The sequence below is a fragment of the Homo sapiens genome, chromosome 1 (genome assembly GCF_000001405.40).
Source record: "Homo sapiens chromosome 1, GRCh38.p14 Primary Assembly".
NCBI classification, from domain to species: Eukaryota; Metazoa; Chordata; class Mammalia; order Primates; family Hominidae; genus Homo; species Homo sapiens.
Genome location: NC_000001.11, coordinates 113,947,894 through 113,970,651, shown reverse-complemented (window position 1 = coordinate 113,970,651; position 22,758 = coordinate 113,947,894). Strand labels below are relative to the sequence as shown.

Sequence of the window (22,758 nt, the reverse complement as noted above, 5' to 3'; positions counted from 1 at the left end):
AAACCATCAAAAGCATCACTGCTATGACACTGGGTGAGAAAAAAATCTAAAGAATATAACTGTTTTCCAAAACACTTTTGCAGTCATTTTCAATATTATCAAGTCCTGTCTACATCTCAATTGCCAAATTCAAATCATCTGTGGCAAACCTAATTGCCTGCTAATTCTTCTTGCAATATCACACGTCTTGTCTGCTTTCTCCCATCAGCACTGAATGTGTTTCTGAGACTACAATCTCATTTGTATATTAATCCAAGCAAAATAAACACAGGAAGATAAAGTGATGGCCAAAAATAATTTCACATTGTGCAGGGAACTGATTTCTGAATTAAGGTCTCTTTAAGAATGTCTACACCACTGGTCTCTACCACTGATATAAGTGGATTATGGCAAAATATTTAAGCATTCACACATCAAAGGAGAATTCAACTCAAGCTGTGAAGATAACACTGACCTGAGGCCTGGGTTGCTACAGTGCAGTCACCAAGCTGAGTTTTCAGTGGAGGCACAATGATAGTGCGGGTGCCAGTGCCATCTGCCACAACTCTGCCAGGCCCCTCCAAAACGGATCCACTATTGCCTCGGAGAGCACTCAGGGTATCAGTGGAATAAGGGCTGCTCAAAGAAGAGTCAGAGTCTGGAGAATCATTGACAGTGACATAACTGATGACATTAGACCTTGGCTTCAGTCCAGAGCTGAGGAAAAGAAAAATACATGAAAATTGAATTGTTCTTTTTTGTGTGTGTGACAGCGTCTTGTTCTGTCACCCAGGCTGGAGTGCAGTGGAGTGATCACAGCTCGCTGCGACCTCAACCTCCTGGGCTCAAGCTATCCTCCCATCTTAGCCTCCCGAGTAGCTGGGACTACAGGTGTGTACCACCATGCCCAACTGTTTTTATCTTTTGTAGTGATGAGATGTCACTATGTTTCGCAGGCTGGTCTCAAATTCCTGGGCTCAAGTGATCTTCCTGCTTTGGCCTCCCAAAGTGCTAGGATTGCAGGCATGAGCCACCATGCCGAGCTTCAACCACCCTTTTAAGCAATGTTTCTTAGATGATCTGTCTCTGGTTCTCCCATGATAACAATGATGATAAAGATGGTAATAATAATAGTAATATTAGCAGCAGTAAACTTCTGGGTACTTATGTATCAGGCACTACTCTCATGCTCCACATACATCTCACTGAATCCTTACAACAATCCTATGAAGTAGGTACTATAAACCCCATTTTGCAGATGAGGAAACTAAGGAATAGGGAGATGAGGAACTTGCCCAGGGTCACACAAGAAGTGATGAGTGGTGAAGACAGGATTCAGACCCAGGACAGAATGACTTCAGAGTCCACACCTCTAACACCTCCTGTATGTTGCCTCTACCATCTTACAATTGGTCCTTTTGAACTAACAGGCTCTAAATTCATTCTAAATTTTCTCTTCCAAGTTCACTTAAACTTCATTTCTGCATGACTCTGTAAAGTCTCCTAAGTTACTTTCATGTGTGAATCCTACCTTCTCAGGTAAAAGCAAGAGGTCATTCCCTCTTCCGTATGCCCAACACCAAAAGCCCCATCGAAGGCTATGCTTCCAAAACACCTTTTTCTTCGGCCCTTTTTTTTGGGTGGGGGCGGGAGGGGATGCAGTCTTGCTCTGTCACTCAGGCTGGAGTACAGTGGCACGATCTCAGCTCACTGTAACCTCCGCCTCCTGGGTTCAAGTGATTCTCCTGCCTCAGCCTCCCGAGTAGCTGGGATACAAACATGTGCCACCACGCCCTGCTAATTTTTGTATTTTTAGTAGAGACAGGGTTGTGCCATGTTGGCCAGGCTGGTCTTGAACTCCTCACCTCAGGTGATCTGCTGGCCTCAACCTCCCAAAGTGCTGGGATTACAGGCGTGAGCCACCATGCCCCACCGGTCCTTTCTTTCACAGGCCAAACTGGGCCCACTTGCCTGAGGCCAACAGTCTAAAACCAATAGAGCCAGGAACCATTCACTTATCTTACCTACTGGGCTTGTATTTGTTGTCCTCTTCCTCATCAGTGTCACTTCGGATAGTGATGACACTCACAGGAGGGCTGGGAGTATCTGGAATGATGATGGGCTGATGCTGATCTTGGACAGGGACCAAGGAATTATAAGAAGATGTGGTGCGGAGGGGACTGCTCCCAACCAGAGAATAGACTTGGGAAGGCAGAACATCTAGAGAGGACCTGTAGGAAAAGTTCACATGGAAAGATGATTCAGTCCTTGGCCTTCCAAATTGTGTATCTTTTCCCCAGACTGCTTTCCAATTTACTCATTGATTCCTTTTTACATAATCATTAAGCAAATACATTTAACTATATAAGTTCCAGTGAAAATAAGCACCATGCTGGCAAGAGTTTCCAGGGACAAGAACACCAAAATACAAAAGACATTTTACTTTTATAAGCCCTTTATCCCAGGATTAAATTTCACTCTGTAAAGTAAAATAAAAACATCATAAAATGCCCTAGATTCAAAGTGGCAGCAGAGACAAAGGACCATCATAAAACCAGGACACACCTGGTGTACATGCCCAGATGAAATGATTTGCTCTTCCTCAATTTGGCAGCTACTTGCTGCTTCATATCTATATTATATGTCTATACAATATTCCAAATGCAAGGCAACATATCTCTCAAACTGGCACAGTTTTAACTATCAGCTGTAACACAGACTCACTTGGAAGAGACTGGAGCTGACTGCTTATTCTTCTTCGAAGGGAGGGAACTGGATTGTTGTTGTCTGACAACATGGGCAACACCAACATTCAGAGGCTGAGCAGTGGCCAATGTCACATGGTTAGTCAGCAAGGATGGCTGCTGCATGATAGTGCTGTACTGGTTGCCATGAGAGTGGGCATTCCTGTACCAACAGAAAGAAAGAGAAGAGTGAATTCCAAAACCACTGAAGAATCAGGACCAAACAGACATCAAAAGCAATTAGCCAAAATGCAGCTGCATTTTATTTTTTTAAAGTTGAGCACCTACCATCTGATAAGGGATTAATAACCAGAATACGTAAGCAGCTCAAACAACTCTATGGAAAAAAATCTAATAATACGATCAAAAAATGGGCAAAAGAATTGAATAGACATTTTCCAAAAGATGACTTACAAATGACAAACAGGCATATGAAAAGGTGCTCAACATCTCTGATCATTAGAGAAATGCAGATCAAAACTGCAATGAGATATTATCTCACCCCAGTTAAAATGGCTTATATCCAAAAGACAAGCAATAATAAACACTGCCAAGGATATGGAAAAAAGGGAACAATTGTACACTGTTGGTAGGAATGTAAGTTAGTACAACTATTATGGAGAACAGTTTGGAGGTTCCTGTAAAAACTAAAAATTGAGCTACCATATGATCCAGCAATCCCACTGCTGGGTATATACCCAAAAGAAAGGAAATCAGTATATCAAAGAGATACCTGCACTCCTATGTTGCAGCACTGTTCACAGTAAGATTTGGAAGCAGCCTAAGTGTCCATCAACAGATGAATGGATAAAGAAAATATGGTACATATACACAATGGAGTACTACTCAGCCACAAAAAGTACACGTTGTCATTTGCAACAACATGGATGGAACTCAAGATCATCATGTTAAGTGAAATAAGCCAGACACAGAAAGACAAACCACATGTTCTCACTTATTTATGGGATCTAAAAATCAAAACAATTTAATTCATGGACATAGAGAGTAGGATGGTTACCAGAGGCTGGTAAGAGTAGTGGAGGGCTAGTGGGGAGGTAGGGATGGTTAATGGGTACAAAAAAAAAAAAAAAAGAATAAGAACTACTATTTGATAGCGCAATAGGTGATTATAGTCAGTAATAACTTAATTGTACATTTTTAAATGACTTAAAGAGTGTAATTGGATTATTTGTAACTCAAAGGATAAATGCTTGAGGGGATGGACACCCCCTTTTCCATGATGTGCTTATTTCACATTACATGCCTGTGTCAAAACATCTCATGTACCCCATAAATATATATACCTAGTATGTAATCACAAAAATTAAACATTAGAAAAAAAGAATTTTCATTATAAAAGATAAAGTTGGGGACCTAGATTACAAGGCTTTAGGATCTCACTGTATGGTTTCTAATCACTTAAGACTCTCTTTAAAAAATCTAGAAGAAATGATTCCTGACCTTCAGAACCTACTGCTTTCCTATATTCAAAGTTTTCTTATAACACCATCTCCTAGCCTGATATGGGTTCTTAAAGGATTCCAACAGTGTCAAATTTTCCTTTATTTTCTTACTAGTCTCTCTCCTTATTACCAAGTGCTCCCACCCTATGGGATCGGCCCTTACAAATCTCCCAGAGTAACACAGGACACTTGCCTCCAGTCAGCTAGCTGCTGTCCACTCCCCATGGCCTCTGGAATCATTGCTGTGGGCTGGACAGAGTTGTGTAGAGCTACCCCAGGCAACTGTTGCCAAGTTGAAGGCAGGAGAATTTGCTGAGTCCCTCCAGGCCACGCCTGCTGTAAGGAAACACACATAAAAAACATCCAGACTTGATTCATTCTTGGCTTTTTCTTCTGTTTTTTTAAAGAAAGAAAAATTCATATCTTAAAAGAAGTTGCTTGTAGATTGTTAACTTGCAGAGATTAAAAAAGAAAGGTCAGAGGGGCTCAAGCTACAAGTCTTATGAATGGGGAAAGAAAACATACTGCTTTCTCTTGCTCACCCCCATAACCTGACCACCCGGGTATTAAAGAAAAGAAGATCCCTGCGGTTAAGAGCTTCTATTATACTGTAGAGAAAAGGAGTCTGAGAGTTCAGAGATAAGAGCTGGTTAAATGCTGGAGTTTCATTTTTGCAACAATTCTAAAATAAATCCCTAGAAAGAGTTAAGAGGACTCCCTGGAGATTAAAATTTTTTAATCTGACTGCCAATCAGATAAGGTATCAGATCAATTCAACCCATAAAACAAAAGGCAGAACTGTTCCCTTTTTTAAAAGGGTAGTATTTGGAAAATGGAGCCAGATGTGGATGACCAAAGGCCTAATCCTTTTGGGGAAAAAATCTTATGCCAGCAAGAAAAAGCTAACTTCATCATTTATAGCCACATAATGGAATTTCAAAATAAGGCAAAAAGTAAGATGTTTTAGAAGCAGAAAGCATCATACTTTGTTTCTAATAGTTACCTAAAATATGTTTTTATGTATCATTTGCAGGAATATTTCCACATAAAAACTAATCACTACAAGAAAATACATGATTTCTAGTTTTAAAAAAGCCATGTCACTTGCAATAAACTGAGCAACAAATGTTTTCTGTACTTCTTCCTCACAGAAATTCTGGCATTTTTTGAAAAAAAAAATGGGAACGGATTTGGAAGTTTCCTTTTTAAACTTGAATTCTGCAGTACAATTACCTACAATGCTTGGGTACATATGGTTCTGTTTCTTGAATTTCAAATTGCAAGGCCATCAACACACTGTTTTAAAAATATTTCTGCAAGTAACAGATCTACTTGTTACAAATACTGGTTCCAAACAAGAAGCCTTCAAAGCAGAGAAACTGCAAACACGTCTGCTACCATAAGCAGAATTTAAAACAAAATAAAACAAAACAAAAAATAAAAGAAGTATGTTAAGTCACACCATGCGTCTTTCCATAAGCCAACACCTGCACAAGACAAAGCATGTAGTTTAATACAAAGCAAGAAATAACATTCCAATGTGAGGCAGAAATCTGGCGTTCCAAGCGACGAACTGTTTTGACAGAGGAAGAACAAAAATATGCAAAGCTTAGCAAATGGCTAGTGCAAACTTAAGAGAAGCAGCAAAGGAGAAGTGTCAACTAACATTCCAACCTCGAAACTACAGATGAGTGAGTTAAAACCATTGGCTTGGATCAATCAAGTTGGAAATATATCTGACTCCCTCACACTCAGGTTTTCTGCTTACAAGAAAATTAATCTGGAAGTGACAAAGACTTTTAAAATGAAAACCAAATTCCAACCAAAGTATGTTTCTGGAAGTGTTTTCACTCACATGAATACTTAAGAAACAACAAAAGAAATTTAAAGCAACTTTGAAAACAGAGAAATAACAGGATTCAATAGTGCCTTTCAGGTTTTTGGATGCTTACCTAATTTTAAATTTCAAATGAGAAAATGCTGGATATCCAATAAACAATTCTAACTCCCCATATAAACCAAAACACATCCAAAAAATCACTCTTAAGGTTACAAATCCTGAAACACACCTCAAAGTCTTGGTTGTTTTTTCTATCTCTAAGCCCAGTACTACAATTGCAGCTACATTAAGTAACTATTCCCCATGACTTTTAATAACAAAGATATTGTATTTGCATAGTTTGTTGGCCATACTTTCAACCTTTGTATAAAGACCTATTTGTAAAATAATTAATTCCTCCCAAAACTCCTAAAAATGTGTCCACTTTTAATTTCAACCAACAATATGACCTACAATATGATCTACATTCTAAAGGGAATATCTTTAAATGTAAGATATAAGCTGCCACTGATCATGAGTGGCAAAAAGAGCTATCTTCATGTGTCCATAGAAGGATGGTTAGTATCAACTGAGAAAGCAATAAATTAAGAGCATCTTAAGCATTTCCACATGCAGAAAAGTTTTAGAACCTTAAAACAGCAAAAAAAGGAGAAAGCTATCTTGCCAACGAGCTCAATTTTGGCCATCCGGGTACCTGTAGCTGAGCCAAATTAAAGGCCATTTCCTTCATTCTCAAGGATCAGAGGGTAAAAGGCAGAAAACAAGTAACAGTGTTGAAGCTCTTCTGAGGCTACATCGAGAGCTTTTATCACACTAGGCTGGCAAAGAAGAATCAAGGGATCTGGCTCCTTACAGAGCCACATAACCATCAGTCAGACAGTGCTACAGCAAATGTTGGGGAGGAAAACAATGAGACATTAAAAGATGTAGCAAGAACACAGCCACAAGATGGCACATGCTTCCATGCCCTCTGCAAAGACTAAGCTAAAAAATTTTTTTGAAAAATAAACCAGAAAAAAACAGAACAAAAACAAACAGGAAAAAACAAAAAAGAAAGAAACCAAAGAAACTCCGTTAGTAACACAATCAAGTGAGGGGAATTACCAGTACAGCGGCAGTCTGTTCAACCAGCGCCGGCCGGCCGGCTGCGCAGCTCAGAGTAAAGGGCACCGCATACTGCGGTGTGATGGTGGCTACTTGAGGGTGGAGAGTTGCTACCATTAGTGGTGTACAGCTTCCCTGAAACGTAGATTAGGCAGGTGAGTGAAACAAACACGGAGGCAGGATATCTGGATTCAGAAGGGTTCTCATTCCCCCCAAGTTATTACTGACAATGAACAGTAATTTGATAGCATCTAAAATGCATATACCAAACACAACTTTCCCCCTTCAACTTTGTATGGCATTGGCCCACAAAGTCAAATGCCAATGGCCTAAAACAAAGAAGTATAGGAATCCTCCTTGGGCTAGATTCAGGGGATCAGTTCTATGAAACAGAGACATTTATTAAGAATTCTTCCTCCTGTTCACAAAATAGAGTTTTTGGATTTGAGAATTTCCTATGTGTCATAGGCCACAAACATTTATATATAAAATATAAAATATACTGTTTGTTGCTATTTAAATACTTTACAATTTTCTCTATCATCTTAGTCGAATGTTCCATAGCAAGTATAAAGTTTTAAAGCTTTCTACAATCTGGTTAAACACACGGAATGAAGGAATGTAATATGTGAAGAGGCATCCTGATGTGATCCAGCCTCTCAACTGTGATGAAATTCTAAAAGAGTGAGCAAAAGGGACACAAAGGGTGCAAAAGTGGAAGCTTATATTTTAGAATCAAAATGCTACATATATACTTATCTTTATATGAGCTCCAACATTTAAAAAACAAACAACAACAAAAAAAAACGCTTCACCCCGCAAAATTAGAGTAAACTTACTCAGAAGACCATTTCTCAAGAATGTCTGGATATTTTTTCCCTGCAAGTCTAAGGAAGACAATGGCAGAGTTGCAATAGTGTTAGGAATTAGTATATTGTTCCATAGAGATGTTTCATTTTAAGTCCACTGAATCATGACCAAGAAAGATCTTATAGTCAAAGGAAATACCATTTTCTAGGACAAAATATCTGAATCTCAATAGTGTTTAGCAATACTGAGTATCCACATTGCTCTAGCTTTTACCTGCGTGAGAACTCCTGACTGAATCTGTAGTGGCTGAGCAGCTGGTGCCTGGGGTACAATCGGTACAGCATTATCCATCCTCACAGGGAATCCAGAATGCTTTGTTGTTGCTTGTAGTCCAGCTATTGAAAACAGCATCACAGTTAAATAGTTTTGCAAGGTCTGGGAGTACTGTTTTAAGATTATTTTGTTTTCAGCTTCTCTGTTCAAATAATCCACTGTTCAGGTTTTAATCCTAGACACTTAAGACAAAGAAGTTTCATTCATAGAAGTCTTGGAAGTTAAGAAAAGGGAGACTTCCCCTCAGGTTAGGTTAATGGAAAGATGTTTGATATAGTGAGGGATGGTTTAAAAGAATTCTAAATTTTTTTTATGCTACAAAATTTAAAACACAATATTCATCCCATCTCCATTAAGAGTACAGGCAAAAACAAAAAAATCTTCACTTAGTAAATTAAATTCACTTTCATTTTTTTTTTTTTTTTTTTTTTTTTTTGAGATGGAGTCTCGCTCTGTCACCCAGGCTGGAGTGCAGTGATGCTATCTGGGCTCACTGCAAACTCTGCTCCCAAGTTCAAGCGATTCTTCTGCCACAGCCTCCCAAGTAGCTGCGACTACAGGAGTGCGCCACCACGCCCGTCTAATTTTTATATTTTCAGTAGAGACGGGGTTTCACCATGTTGGCCAGGCTGGTCTCGAACTCCTGACCTCATGATCTGCCCATCTTGGCCTCCCAAAGTGCCGGGATTACAGGTGTGAGCCACTGTGCCCAGCATTATTCACTTTTTAATCCACTAGGTGGAAAAAAAACTTGTTTTTAAAATTCTAATCTTTAAAAGCAAAGGCTTAAGTATAACTTTTAGTGAATTAGATAAGAAAGATTACGAAAAGCTCAATAATTTATAATCTAAGTTACCTTCTTATTTAGAATGCTTTTCCCCATTCCTCAAAAAATATAACCTAGTCCATAAATCAGTCATATATTTTATCCTTAACCAGGCATGAACTGAAAAAAATTATGCCTAGGATAAGAATATTTTAAAAGCAGACATTCTGGTTTATAGAAACTTGCTTCAACTTATTTTAGAAATCTACTCTTGTCATTGACATCTAATAGGGCTCTTTTGTAGTTAATGGACAGCTAGGAAAATCAAGAATTCTTCTTTGTAACAGTGCCTTTATAACAATAACCATGTCTTCTTTATCTTTTTATTCATTATGCTCTTAGAACAAATGTTGAATAAATCTTTCCTACAAATAGACCTCCTGGGGAAAAGCACAACTAAAGACAATTCTTTTTGTCAAGACTTGAGAGCCTTCAGTTGCTTCTGTACTTTATCGAAACTTGCAACATAAAGAATTTAAGTTGCTATTATATTTCCAATTCACTAATGTCTGCAATTTTGTTAAGTGAGGATATAAAGATTTTAATTAAAGACTACTTAGGTGACATTTTCTCAACTATCACCAACTAATTTCTCTTAATATTACTATGGAGGTATCAAATGAGCATAACTCATAGACCTAACACTGCTGTTTTCAGCAAGTCAGTCTTCTAATTTTCCACTTCAGTAATTTATGAGTAATTTAATAACAAGTTGTCATGAAGAAAAATACAATCCAGCAACGTACAAAATAAGAGGGCATAGTAAAATCAGAATTAAAACACTAACAATATCTTTTTTTATATAAAAATAAAAAGTAACAAATTCATATATCAAGATTAAAAAGTTGCCAGCCATGCTTCCGTAGGCAATGTTATCCAATAAGAAGGCTAAGCCACACAAAATTTTTGCCTATAGTAGGACATGGATACATGCCTAACTACAAGACATTGGTATTGTATAATAATAGCCTCCTACAAATTGGTAAAATTTAGGAGGAAATGTTCACTTCAGAAGCTCATCTATAGCCCCCAGGGTGATAAAGCGAAAGGTGACAAAATTACAGAATAATAGTTACCACTAAGCAAAATGTGTTATCTATTTTGGCCAACCAGGACAGTATGGAAAGTAGTATTTATAGTACTGACCTACAAATGTGACTCTAATGTATTAGATTGCTATTGTACTTTAGGCTGAGCCCAAAAGTGGAAAAAAAGAATTAACAAAAGGCAACACTGTTGGAAGGTTCTCCCCGGTTCCTGACCTAAGAGGGATTATAGTTTCATTTTTTGTTATTATTTTGTTTTATTGAACATAGTCCTTTAAATAAAGAATCAGGTAAGTATGGAAAGAATAAATTGCCTAACTGATGAGGATCTATCCTCCTGTAAGTATAGTCATCTTGTAAAAGAACAGATAGTCCAAGAAAAGTGGGCAACCTGGAATAAGACCATTGTTGCACAGAAATGAGCAACTAGTGATGGCTGGCAACTGAAGGGCAATAAGGATAATACCTCAAAATACAGAAGCTATGAATTCCCCTGCCTGGGTTCAAATCATGGTTCTGCAATAATTAGTTATAGGACTTTGGGCATATGAAGGAACCATGCTCAAAATTCTCATCTATAAATTGGGGATAATGACATTACCCTACCTCCTAGAATTGTTAGTGAAGATAAATTAATACATGTAAAAGCACTTGGAACATTATCTGGCATATAGTAATACATATCAGGCATCATCATCATCACCTTAATTTTAAAACTCCTTTTTCATTTGGAAAATTTTAAGTATGCTCTAATAACTCCTCAGGTTATTTATACTTCCTAGATAGGAAAAATTTCAAAGCTTACCTAATTATACTAAAAAGGGTTATCCCACTTTTCCCCTCTAACTTCATTAGTTTACATTTTGTTTTGTTAAAGGAACTCAAAAGTTCTTCTGCTTCATCTTGTATCATCTGAGAAGCAGCAGAAAACTTCAGGGTCCCACATCTGAAAACTGTTCCAATGAAACTCTTCGGAAAAAGTGGTGAAAAAAGTGGCTAATCTGCTAAGCTCTGTGGAAGAATCACTCAACATACGACAATCCCAACTACAGAATTTACTATTATGAAGCATATGCAGAAAATAATTTGGTAAGTTAGGCTAAACGTGCATTTACGGATTTTGAATCTGTCCCTCTGCTCTCCCTGTGGTTTCTCCCTGGTTTATATCGCTATTGCTCTCCTGTCCTCCTGGTAATCTCTCTGACCCCCCTAGCCCCTCTTTTCCTTCTGCTTGCTCCGACTCTATCAGAAACCAAACAAACAAGAGAGTCACGGTCAATAAGTAATTGATGTAAAAAGGCAAAAATGCTACCTGCTTCTATGTAAAGTGTTATATGAAATACCTGAATCCTGGTTTATTCTCACAGGGTACTGACACTGACCTTCTCTTGGGAAAGTCAAATGTGTCATTAGATTTTAGCCTTAAAGTAACATTCTTCTAAATGGCTTACCAAATGATTAAACACACATTTCCCATATACAGAAAAAAGAAACTGGACAGACTAGATTACAGAACAACAATGTGAAAATTAAGAAGGATGGGAATGTGAAAATTAAAATCTTATTGCAACACAGGGACTCCGCCTCCTCCTTCAGCTATTCTGTTCCTCTGTTGACAGGAGTTTGCAGGAACTATATGATTCATAAGCTGAAGAAGATAATCTTAATGCCTGCCCCACACAAGCACCTCAGCCTGTAGGATTTTTTAGTTCAATAAATAATGATTTTTCTTTCCTTAAGTAATTTAAGATGTTTCCACATTCTTAAACATGATTTTTACATTTTAGAATAAAATCACTTTTTATTGGGAACATAATTTTTATAATAGAATGATATAGGCAATAAGATCCAATATTTAGCAATTCTGCTTACAACAAATTTTTTCAAGTTGTATAGATTTTGCATATTGACAGATACATGCTTATACAAGACGTACGACATTGACACAAGGACTCAATGGGCAAGAAAACTGGTATCAGGCAATTCAATTAAGGAAACATAAAGTGAGCTCTTACAATGCATCAGATAGCATCATAATTAGATAAATAGCCTATGTAAAAAGAGAAAATCCATTTTGTGATATTACCCAATTTTAGTTACCTTCTTCATCAGAGACAGAGTTTAAACTTGTAAAGATCAGAACTAAACAACTAGAGCTGCCTAAAGCAGGTAGGTCTGATACAATACCATATGATACAGGAGTTTCCCCACTTACTTTGAAACGCAGGTGGACATACTATAAATGTCTGTTGGAATGGATCTGTCTGAGTGCAAATCTGGGTGGTTCCAGGCTGCAAGGAAACACCCTGCTGGGCAACTCCAGGAACTGGTGCAGCAGATGATGGGTACAAAGCTGACTGGTAGTTTAGTAGTGAGACATCTGAATTAGCCAGAGAAAGAGTAGCAGCTGCTGCAGTAGAACTGGAAGCTAGAACACTGGCCTAAAAACAAAAGGATTATATTTGTACACTTGTATTAAGTAGAGACACACAATAATTTTATATATACAGAATTTATCCAGAAAAACGTAGAATAATGTTTTAAAATGTAATGTTAACTGCCTCTGAAATAACTCTCTGCTTAAGAAACTTCCCTAGTCCCTAAATTGAAGGCATATTATATGGTCAAATAAGCAAATAAAAAAAAAAAAACGAATGGTCCTATGTTGGCTGTGGCTACACAAACCCCAACTACTTCTGCACAAAAAATTACTGGATGGAAGATCCCACCAAATCTCATAGGCTCTTCCATTAAAAAAGTAGACCCAGCCAAGAAACTGGGAAGCTTACATCTTCAGAAATAAACCTAAATGCAAATATCACTGGCTAGCAAACAAATGCAAAACCACCCTTAAAGTTAATGACTGGAAACCTTTCAATACAGTAACAAGAGATATAAAATCCTTCTCCTAACAGGGAGAAAGTCATTTGGCTAAAGTCAGTAAAACTAACAGCAGTAAGTAGCATAATAGTCAGACCCCATTTATTTGACGATGCTGAACATATGAGGGCATGGATTAGGCCTTTATATTTAACTTTAGTTAGCCTGTGCCTGGTAAGTATTATCAGTCTACCCTGTTTTCCATCAACTTTTGTCAAGTGGAGAATTTCTAAGAAGCAACAAGACCACCAAAACAAAAATTGGTTCTTTACCTTGCCCTGTATTCTTACTAGTTTCTATCCCACTTAAGCTTGAGTTTCCAAAATTATTTATTGAATACCTGATTGTGCACTGTATTGAGCTGATTGCTGAAGCTCATGGTTAGATTTGTGCTTGTATTTGGGGCAACATGTGTAGTGAAGGGACTCTTGATCTGACTCACTGTATCATACATGTGAACCCTCCGCTTGCAGATCTCCATGTTCTGAAAACAAGACTTAACACTGAAAAGGAGATTAAAGATTCATTAAATGAATGCTGAGATTTAAACAGACAGCAAATAACTCAAGATGAACATGGATCAAAGCTTTTTTTCCCAATCACTTTCAGATAAAATAAATCAAGAATTTGTATAATCATAGGGAAGAAAAATACACATCTAATTTTTATCTTATGATGTTTCAATGAGAAAGAAAAGCACTGCTGAGCCAGATTTATAAGCACCAAAGTGGCGGGCTCATTTGATAGTGCCATTGATAAGGCGGTAACTCAACAAAGAACCACATGGCAAAAGCCCCAGAATATTCCATACTCACTGATTGCTATGTGGAAAATCCAAAAGGTGAGTCATTGTCACAAACTGATGGTTAAGAGTTTTTAGAGGGGTAATTCTCTTATCTGCATCAATTGTGAGCATTTTCTTTAACAGATCAATGTATTCTCTTCGGTCTGCCTTCTCTGCCAACATGTCTGTTCCCTCCAGGTCTGTAGACATATTCACCTTCCAAAGAAAATTCAGAATTATACTTCTTCACTTAACCTTTGGCACTGACACTACATAGCTGCTTTCCCTCCAAACTATGTGTGTGTGTATATATGTAATCAAAAGAGAAACCTGGGGAAATTCTTTTTATGAAAATCTAATCATTTTCAGAGGAGGAAGCTCTTTTTATGCTGTTTAATTAAAATCTTCATCTAAATTGAGTGGTAGAAGAAAGCTAAACAATTTCTTGTCATTAAAAATTTGGGGGCTGGGCGCGGTGGCTCATGCCTGTAATCCCAGCATTTTGGGAAGCCAAGGCAGGTGGATCACCTGAGGTCAGGAGTTTGAGACCCAGCCTGGCCAACATGGCAAAACCCCGTCTCTACTAAAAAAAATACAAAAATTAGCCGGGCATGGTGGCACGTGCCTGTAATCCCAGCTACTTGGGAGGCTGAGGCAGGAGAATCGCTTGAACCCGGGAGGCAGAGGTTGCAGTGAGCTGAGATTACGCCACTGCACTCCAGCCTGGGCAATAGAGTGAGACTCTGTCTCAAAAAAAAAAAAAAAAAAAAAAAAATGGAACAAGTAGCTAAGCAATAGTGATTGTTACTACCTAAATATAAAAGCTTCTACTGTTGAAAAAATTAAATGACATAAGTGTGAAGTGTTCAGAGTTCGTAACATAATAGGCGCTCAATAAATATAATTCTTAAGTATTTAATAGAGAAAATGGGACAAGAAACTTTCATAAGTAATATTTTAAAACACTGCTATGTAACAAGACAAGTAAAGCAAGAGAGAAATATGTAATTCTAAAAATATACTTGGTTAGGATTTAAATGTTCCTTTACTACATGGTGGAATATTAATGCATTTTTTATAAAAACTGAAAACAAATACTAGAAAGATAACATTAAATTTGTCTTTAGTATAATCAACAGAAGTGTCTCTGATTAAAAATAAATGTCTGACTTTCTGAAACTTTCCGTACTCACCTGAGCCATGTCATCTAAGCAATTAAAAATGTACTTCCGAGCTTCTTTTGATTTTATTCCAGTCTCCAGTTCATGTTCTTCAGGTGTCTATAAAATAAAGATTTTCCTCCTTAAATTCCATCTGTATGTTATTTTCACATTTTATTCAAAACCAAAGCCAGAATACAAGAGACAAGTGTGGTCACCTTGCCAACCATAGATGGCAAACATGAAAGTAATTCACAACCAGAAAATCTTCCAGTGGAGAGATGTGACCTTGATATCTAGCTACCCTTTCAACAGTGATAAACATGCAAGTAATGATACAGCACAGTTCCTAAAGAATGTCAGGTAAAAGGGGACACTACCATTGTTCTCTTAAAGCTACTTTCAAATAAATCGATATCTCAAATGCTAACTGTTCAACAGACTCAGACACACAGTCACAGGGTTAGTCAAATTACTCAGATATTTCTGAACCTGACAGAGTAGGCTCAGAAGTAAAAAGCAGGTATTTGTTTCAAGAAAAAATATAGAAGTCCTGAATGTGGGCAGTTAGAAAATTTGTGATTTTATCATGTTCATTGAGAATTCTCTAAAAATCAGTCATTACTATATGTCTCTAGTTCTATCGCTTAATGGTGAGCACTACCCTCCAAACTTTCTATCAGCTGTGGATTGAACATATACAAAATAACCTCAGCCAACTGAACTAGCAATTAATGTTTTGTTTTTCAACTGAGGATAAGGCCAAACAGGTACAAAGAAATAATTTTTCAAAATGCTTCCCCCTCTCCTTTCCCTTCTCTACCTGAAGAATTTAATAACTAAACTTTGAATTCAAAATTGGGGAGTGAGGGGTGGAGTACAGGAGTCGGAAGCATAGTAGGGAAGACAGACCTTAAGCCTCCACAGTGGGTACCCCAAATTAGGATCTCTGTTGAAAAACCTGGTTGTTTTTGTTCCGGCACTGAGAAGATATTCAGCTGGCAAGCCTTGTGTTTGTGAAATATAACGAATCTGAAACATCAAAACCATCAAACAACTATTTGGAGTGAAAAGGGAAATTATTAAAGGCTTTTACACTAAAACATCATTAACTTTAGGCAAAGGAAGAAATCAAATCTTTAATCAATACAACTGAAATTTATCTGTAAATACCTATATATACTAATCCATCCACAGCTACTGTATCTATTATTTACAAGGAAATCCAGTTTTGAAAATTTTGGCTATAATCTTTTTTGCTTTTCCTGTTGACTTCTAATACTTCAAATCTGTGGAATCTACTACAACTCAGATAACTTCCTTTCTAAATCCTGTAGCTGGAAACCAAAATACCATGCAGACATTGTAAATGACAAGGTAGAAGTGTATTTACGGACAAGTAAAGATATTTGACAATATAGGCCAGGCATGGTGGCTCACACCTGTAATCCCAGTACTTTGGGAGGCCAAGGTAGGAGGATAGCTTGAGCCTGGGAGTTTGAGACCACCCTAGGCTGATATAGCAAGATCCCCGACTCTACAAAAAATAAAAGAATTAGCTAGGCAAGGTGGCATGCACCTATAGTCCCATCTACCTGGGAGGCTGAGGTGGGAGGATCACTTAAGCCCAGGAGCTAGAGGTTACAGTAAGCTGTGACAGGCCTACATGCCAGCCTGGGTGACTGAGCAAGACTCTGTCTCTAAAAAAATAAAAACTTAAAAACCACAACAAAAAAACTGGTGTACTTACTGTGTACCAGACACAGTGTTAGGAGCTGAGGATACACTGGTGATGTGAAACAATCTCTACCCTCAAGGAGCTTACATCATAAAGGGCAGGAACATTTTTAAAAAATAAGAAGAAGGCCAGGCACGGTGACTCACACCTGTAATCCCAACACTTTGGGAGGCTGAGGCAGGTGGATCACCTGAAGTCAGGAGTTCGAAACCAGCCTGGCCAACATGGTGAAACCCCGTCTCTACTAAAAAATACAAAAATTAGTTGGTCATGGTGGCAGGCACCTGTAATCCCAGCTACTCAGGAGGCTGAGGCAGGAGAATCGCTTGAACCAGGGAGGCAGAGGTTGCAGTGAGCCGAGATCGCGCCACTGCACTCCAGCCTGGGTGACAGAGCAAGACTCCATCTCAAACAAATAAAAAGAAAAAAGAAAAAATAACAAGAAATGAGAATTCACAATTTACTTCCATAGTAAAACATTTTCCCTTAACGGACCAATTCCTTAGGAAATTATACCATATCTCCTAAAGTTTGTCTATTTTTAGATACAGATCATATATTACTACAACTCAGATGATTTCCTTTCTAAATCCTATCTTAGCGACCCAGTATGTCACAGCTTCTGGGACCTGAAGTGTTTCAGTCTGAAGAAAGTACTTCAGTGTGTCATGCGTAAAAGTAAATTATAATAGCTCCGAGTAAGTAGAAGTTCTCTTTTAAAATTCCAGTTCCTCATCTTTACTCTACTTTCCTAACTCACAAAGCACATAAGTTAATGAAAGTTAAGTCTCTAATAAATCATTACAGATCTAGCAAAGTATCAACCTTAATATAAAATAAAATTCTTTTTTTTATTATAGAATTGCAAACATACTTTAGCCTAAGAAGCAGGAAGAGAAAATTATACTATTCTTTAAAAAGTTCTTTAGTAGCAATTGGACTACTCTTTCCCTATTATCTAAATACTTCAGTAGTACTTAGTACTTCTCTTTCTCCAGAATCTAATTCACAAGTAACTATTTGCATTCTATTTCCATTCAAATAAACACTTTTACCTGATCATATTCTGAAGCACCAGGATAAAGAGGCCATCCCAGGAACAGCTCAGCTATCACACAGCCCAGTGACCACATATCAATAGCTTCACAAAATGGTAACCCAAGAATAATTTCAGGAGCTCTAGCAAAAACAAAAAATATCAGATTAAAAAAAAAAAAACATTATTTGGGAAAATTAACTACATGACTAAGTCCTGTTTTAGTATTAGCTAAAGGAACATTTATTCAATGAAATGGAAAAAAAATCTTTGGTATACAATCCATCATCTGAAGCTCAGGGCCAGATGTGTTTTGGAATTCAGAATATTTTGAATTTCAGAAAGGTAATGCAGAACACAAAGTACACATTATATAATAATCCCAGTGGAGTTCAGGGCAGTGCACTATAATCAAACACATTAATATTTCTGCAACAAAACATGGAACAGTCATACTAAGTTGGCTAAATAAAGACTTCAAATAGCTTAACAATGGTTCAAGTCAGGTCTTGCCAATTAAATGAATTTATACCAAACTTAAAGAAAAATTTTCATTTATGAGAGCTTTCTGAATTTTGCAATCACAGATAAGGGATAATAGATTTTTTTTATTATTATTCCTAGCACCATTTCAATCATAAAAAAAAAAAATCAATTAAAAGGCCTGGTCAACTGGGCACAGTGGCTCATGCCTGTAATCCCAGCACTTTGGGAAGCCGAAGCGGGTGGATCACCTGAGGTCAGAAGTTCAAGACCAGCTTGGCCAATATGGTGAAACCCCAAATCTACTAAAAATACAAAAATGAGTCAGGTGTGGTGGTGGGCGCCTGTAATCCCAGCTACTCAGGAGGTTGAGACAAAAGAATCGCTTGAACCCAGGAGGTAGAGGTTGCAGTAAGCCAAGATCACACCACTACACTCCAGCCTAGGAGACCCAAGACAGTCCAAAAAAAAAAAAAAAAAGCCCTGGTCAATAAATAACCCTTCATGACAGAAATGCCTTCTGGAAAAAAAAAAAAGAAAAAGAAATGCCTTCTGAAGAGACATGGTGTTGACAGCACACTCTCTAGAGCCAGCCTGTCAGGGTCTGAATCCTAGTTCCATCATTTAATAGCTGCAGGTATATTACTTGATCTCTCTGTGCCTCAGGTTCCTCATCTATAAAATGGAGACAGTAAGAGTTCCCACCACATAGAGTTGTTGTGAAGCTTAAATAAATATATGAAAGCTTTTAGACCAGTGCATGGCACATGGTAAATACTAGTAGGTGTTAGATATAATAACAGTATTATGTTACCATTATTTTAAAACTTTGAACTCTTAGTGTGCTTTTTAGAAATATTCATTAACAGTCCAAGTGAGAAATAAAATGCTAGGGAACTTTAAAGAGATGACTAAGGTAATCCATAACTCAGACGTTTATATATACGAACACATCTAAAATAGAATTATTATCCCCATTACAGAAGAAGAAACTGAGAAAAAGAAAGATTAAGTTATTGGCCTAGAGTCACAGTCAAATAAGTGGCAGAGCTAGGATTTGAATCCCTGCAATCTGGCTCCAGAATTGAGTATATTATATATTACACTGTTTCTCAATAAGTAAAAGTACATACTCATCTATGTAAATTTATATTTGACATGGTGGAATACAAGGGCAATTGTCAAACTATGACTAATTAGGCAATAAGTGGGTTCAAAAAGAAAATAATAGGTAACACTAATAGCAATAATAATAAATGACACATAAATATTGCCTACTATGTGCCATGCACTGTTCTAAGTTCTTTATAAATGTTGAGTCACTTAATCCTTACAACAATCCTATCAAAGTATTATTATGATGTCATCAATTCTAAGATACACATCTTTTTACATGTTAGCACCTCTGAAATTAAGAAGATTCTTACAAATGATGGTATATTTTAGTTTAATGGCAGCGCTTTTCCTTTTTTAAGTGGTACAAAAATAATGTATCTTATAATCAATGGCATGTTAGATTCTATGCAATAAAAGTATTACCTCCATTTTACAGATGAAGAAACTGGCACTAAGAGGTTAAAGTAACTTGCCCAAGGCTACATAACTACTAAAAGATGGTGCCCTTGGCCAGCGCAGTGGCTCACACCTGTAATCCCAGCACTTTGGGAAGCCAAGGTGAGTGGATTGCTTGAGGTCACGAGTTCGAGAACAGCCTGGTCAACACGGTGAAACTCCATCTCTACTAAAAATACAAAAATTAGCTGGGCATGGTGGCGGGCAGCTGTAATCCCAACTACTCAGAGGCTGAGGCAAGAGAATTACTTAAACTTGGGAGGCATAAGTTGCAATGAGTTGAGATCTGCCACTGCACTCCAGCCTGGGCGACAGAGCGAGACTCCATCTCAACAAAAGAAAAAGGATGGTACCCAAGCTATTTGGATCCAAGATTTCAGCTCTTAGGCACTGGATCATCTTCTCCAAATAATTTCCTTTCTTTCTTACAAGTCATGGAATTATAATCTATAAGGACACTCCAGATCCAGATCCAGATCCAGATTCAGATTCCTCATGTTACAGGAGTTAAATGGAAAACAGATCTTTCCGTGAAGAACCATCTAACTGGCCGTGTCTCCTCACAGAATACCCAGGTTTCTCAAACTACTTTCAAGTGATATGTGCTTATTGTTGTTTTGTGTATATGTGCAGGGGGTTGAGGGAAGGCAAGGATTAAGCAAGGAGAATATAATTTCCCTAAATAAGAATATCCCTCCCCATCTAAGCAAACTAGGCATAGAAGAAAAAAAAAATCCTCCCCTAGTATTTATACATAAATAGTGGCCCTTAGAAAACAGTAAATCTGGGGACTCCACAGGGCCTGAAAGCTTTTCTGATCCTTAAATACAAATAGCAGTCGACCCAGGCCTCTTCGGGCTTACACTTTTTAACAGCTATGGGTGGAACCACCAATATCATCAGTTTTTGTAGTATTTAATTTGAACTGTGGTTTTGTTTACCAAAGAAATAACTGGCCGGGTGCGGTGGCTCATGCCTGTAATACAAGCACTTTGGGAGGCCGAGGAGGCTGGATCACCTGAAGTCAGGAGTTTGAGACCAGCCTGGCCAACATGGTGAAACCCCATCTCTACTAAAAATATAAAAAATCAGCCAGGTGTGGTGGCGGGCACCTGTAATCCCAGCTACTCAGGAGGCTGAGGCAGGAGAATTGCTTGAACCCAGGAGACGGAGGTTGCAGTGAGCTGACACAGTGCCACTGCACTCCAGCCTGGGTGACAGAGTAAGACTCTGTCTCAAAAAAAAAAAAAAAAGAAAAGAAAAGAAGTAACCCTCAAAAGTGATATTCCTGTTGCAGGTGGCTAGAGGCACATATTACTGATGGAATTTCAGAGTTCAGTGAAATCTCAACCATAATGGCATGTTTTCAACACTGCACAAGTTTGACAGGCGCATTAATAAGCTAGTAAGACTACCCAGAAACAACATAAAAGCTTTTCTAAAATTGAAAAGGAACAAAATTTTCTACTCCTAGTGAGCAGAATCATTAATTTCCAAGTTCATGACAATGCCAAAAATAGCTGGCAGGGGGAGCACAACTGGCAATGAGCCAAAATAAAAACTGGGTTTAGAACATTCCAAAGCATCAATTGGAGGGCAGCATATTGATTTTGCTATTCCTACCATACTAGAAAGACATTTTAAAGTCCAAAAGGTAGGTCACAGAGAATGGCCAGGCCACTCTATAACTTTCTTCTTTAAAAGGTAGCGATAACAGGCCAGGCGCGGTGGCTCACGCCTATAATCCTAGCACTGTGGGTGGCCAAGGCACGTGGATGGCCTGAGGTCAGGAGTTCAAGTCCAGCCTGGCCAACATGATGAAACCCAGTCTCTACTAAAAATACAAAAATTAGCTGGGCATGGTGGCAGGCGCCTGTAATCCCAACTACTCCAGAGGCTGAGGCAGGAGAATCGCTTGAACCCGGGGGGCAGAGGTTGCAGTGAGCCAAGATTACGTCAATTCACTCCAGACTGGGCGTAAGAGCGAAACTCCGTCTCAGAAAAAAATAAAAAAGGTAGCAATAATATATGATAACTGTCTCGAGCTTAAAGTTTTCTGGGAAATTAAGGAAAATATCACTTCCACAGCCCCCAAGTCCCATTTAATTAAAAAAAAAAACTGAAGATTAGCTGAAAGTTTTTTCATTTGGTCTCACCCTGCTTTTGGAGTGACAAAAGCAGCTAAGGACTTCCAGCAAAAGCTCAGTCAAAACAGCAACTCTACCGTATCTACCTTATAAAAAGGCAAATAGCAAAAGGAAAAACAAAAAAAGGAAAGCAGTTTAAAAAAAAAAAAAATACGGCCAGAAACGGCGGTTCACACCTATAATCCCAGCACTTTGGGAAGCCAAGGCAGGAGGATCACTTGAGCAGGAGTTTGAGACCAGCCTAGGCAACACAGCAAGACCCAATCTCTACCAAAAAAATTTAAAAAATTAGCCAGGTATGGTGGTGCATGCCTGCAGTTCTAGCTACTCAGGAAGCTGAGGTGGAAGGATCACTTGAGCCCAGGAGGTCAAGGCTGCAGTGAGCCATGATTGCGCCACTGCACTCCAGCCTGAGACCCTGTCTCAAAAACAAACAAAAAAGCAGTAAGGCTGCTTAGTTCACTGAGGGTTTTGTATTATTTGGGCCTATAAATGTTAGACTTACCCAAACTCTACGAAGCAAAAAGACAAGTTATTTTCTACTTTACTGAACAGTAAGGCATCACTAGAGCAGGTTTATCTCTAAGGACTGAATACTTTAAACTGTGAATCCAGATTATAATTATTAGAATTATTTTCATTACATCTTTCCTCTTGGCCTCCTTATTTCTTAATCCCTCAATATAAACTCTACAGACACGTAAAACTCTGGTTCTACCTCATTTGTGTAATAAGGAAACAGAGTTAGATAATTACTCTTCTAGGTCCCTTTCCAGCTGTAACATTCCAACAACTGGGCAGTAAAAAAGGTTA

At 38.0% G+C, this 22,758-nt stretch overlaps 1 protein-coding gene across 17 annotated transcripts in view, besides 1 other annotated feature; it reads right to left on the bottom strand.

The window, feature by feature from the left end:
- The window catches only part of HIPK1 (homeodomain interacting protein kinase 1), a 48,546-nt gene that overhangs the window by 7,218 nt on the left and 18,570 nt on the right, over positions 1-22,758 (bottom strand). For 6 of the 17 annotated variants that reach the window (NM_198268.3, XM_005270611.6, NM_152696.4 and 3 more), the window contains 12 exons: positions 17,763-17,886; positions 15,882-16,001; positions 15,003-15,089; positions 13,841-14,025; positions 13,366-13,528; positions 12,361-12,586; positions 8,214-8,335; positions 7,131-7,265; positions 4,380-4,522; positions 2,704-2,886; positions 2,004-2,210; positions 455-696 (listed from right to left, as the gene is read on the bottom strand). In NM_198268.3, coding sequence (NP_938009.1) covers positions 455-696; positions 2,004-2,210; positions 2,704-2,886; positions 4,380-4,522; positions 7,131-7,265; positions 8,214-8,335; positions 12,361-12,586; positions 13,366-13,528; positions 13,841-14,025; positions 15,003-15,089; positions 15,882-16,001; positions 17,763-17,886 — 1,937 coding nt within the window. Of the gene's footprint in view, positions 1-454; positions 697-2,003; positions 2,211-2,703; positions 2,887-4,379; positions 4,523-7,130; positions 7,266-8,213; positions 8,336-12,360; positions 12,587-13,365; positions 13,529-13,840; positions 14,026-15,002; positions 15,090-15,881; positions 16,027-16,719; positions 16,776-17,762; positions 17,887-19,359; positions 19,508-22,758 lie in introns of those variants that run through there. The other 11 variants (XM_005270610.6, XM_047449119.1, NM_001369807.1 and 8 more) reach the window with 7 other exon arrangements.
- Positions 18,659-18,859: a silencer, noted in NCBI's record as "peak375 fragment used in MPRA reporter construct". NCBI's record gives its function as "represses an SCP1 promoter by STARR-seq MPRAs in K562 erythroleukemia cells {active_cell/tissue: K562}" and the evidence as "EXISTENCE:reporter gene assay evidence [ECO:0000049][PMID:32103011]".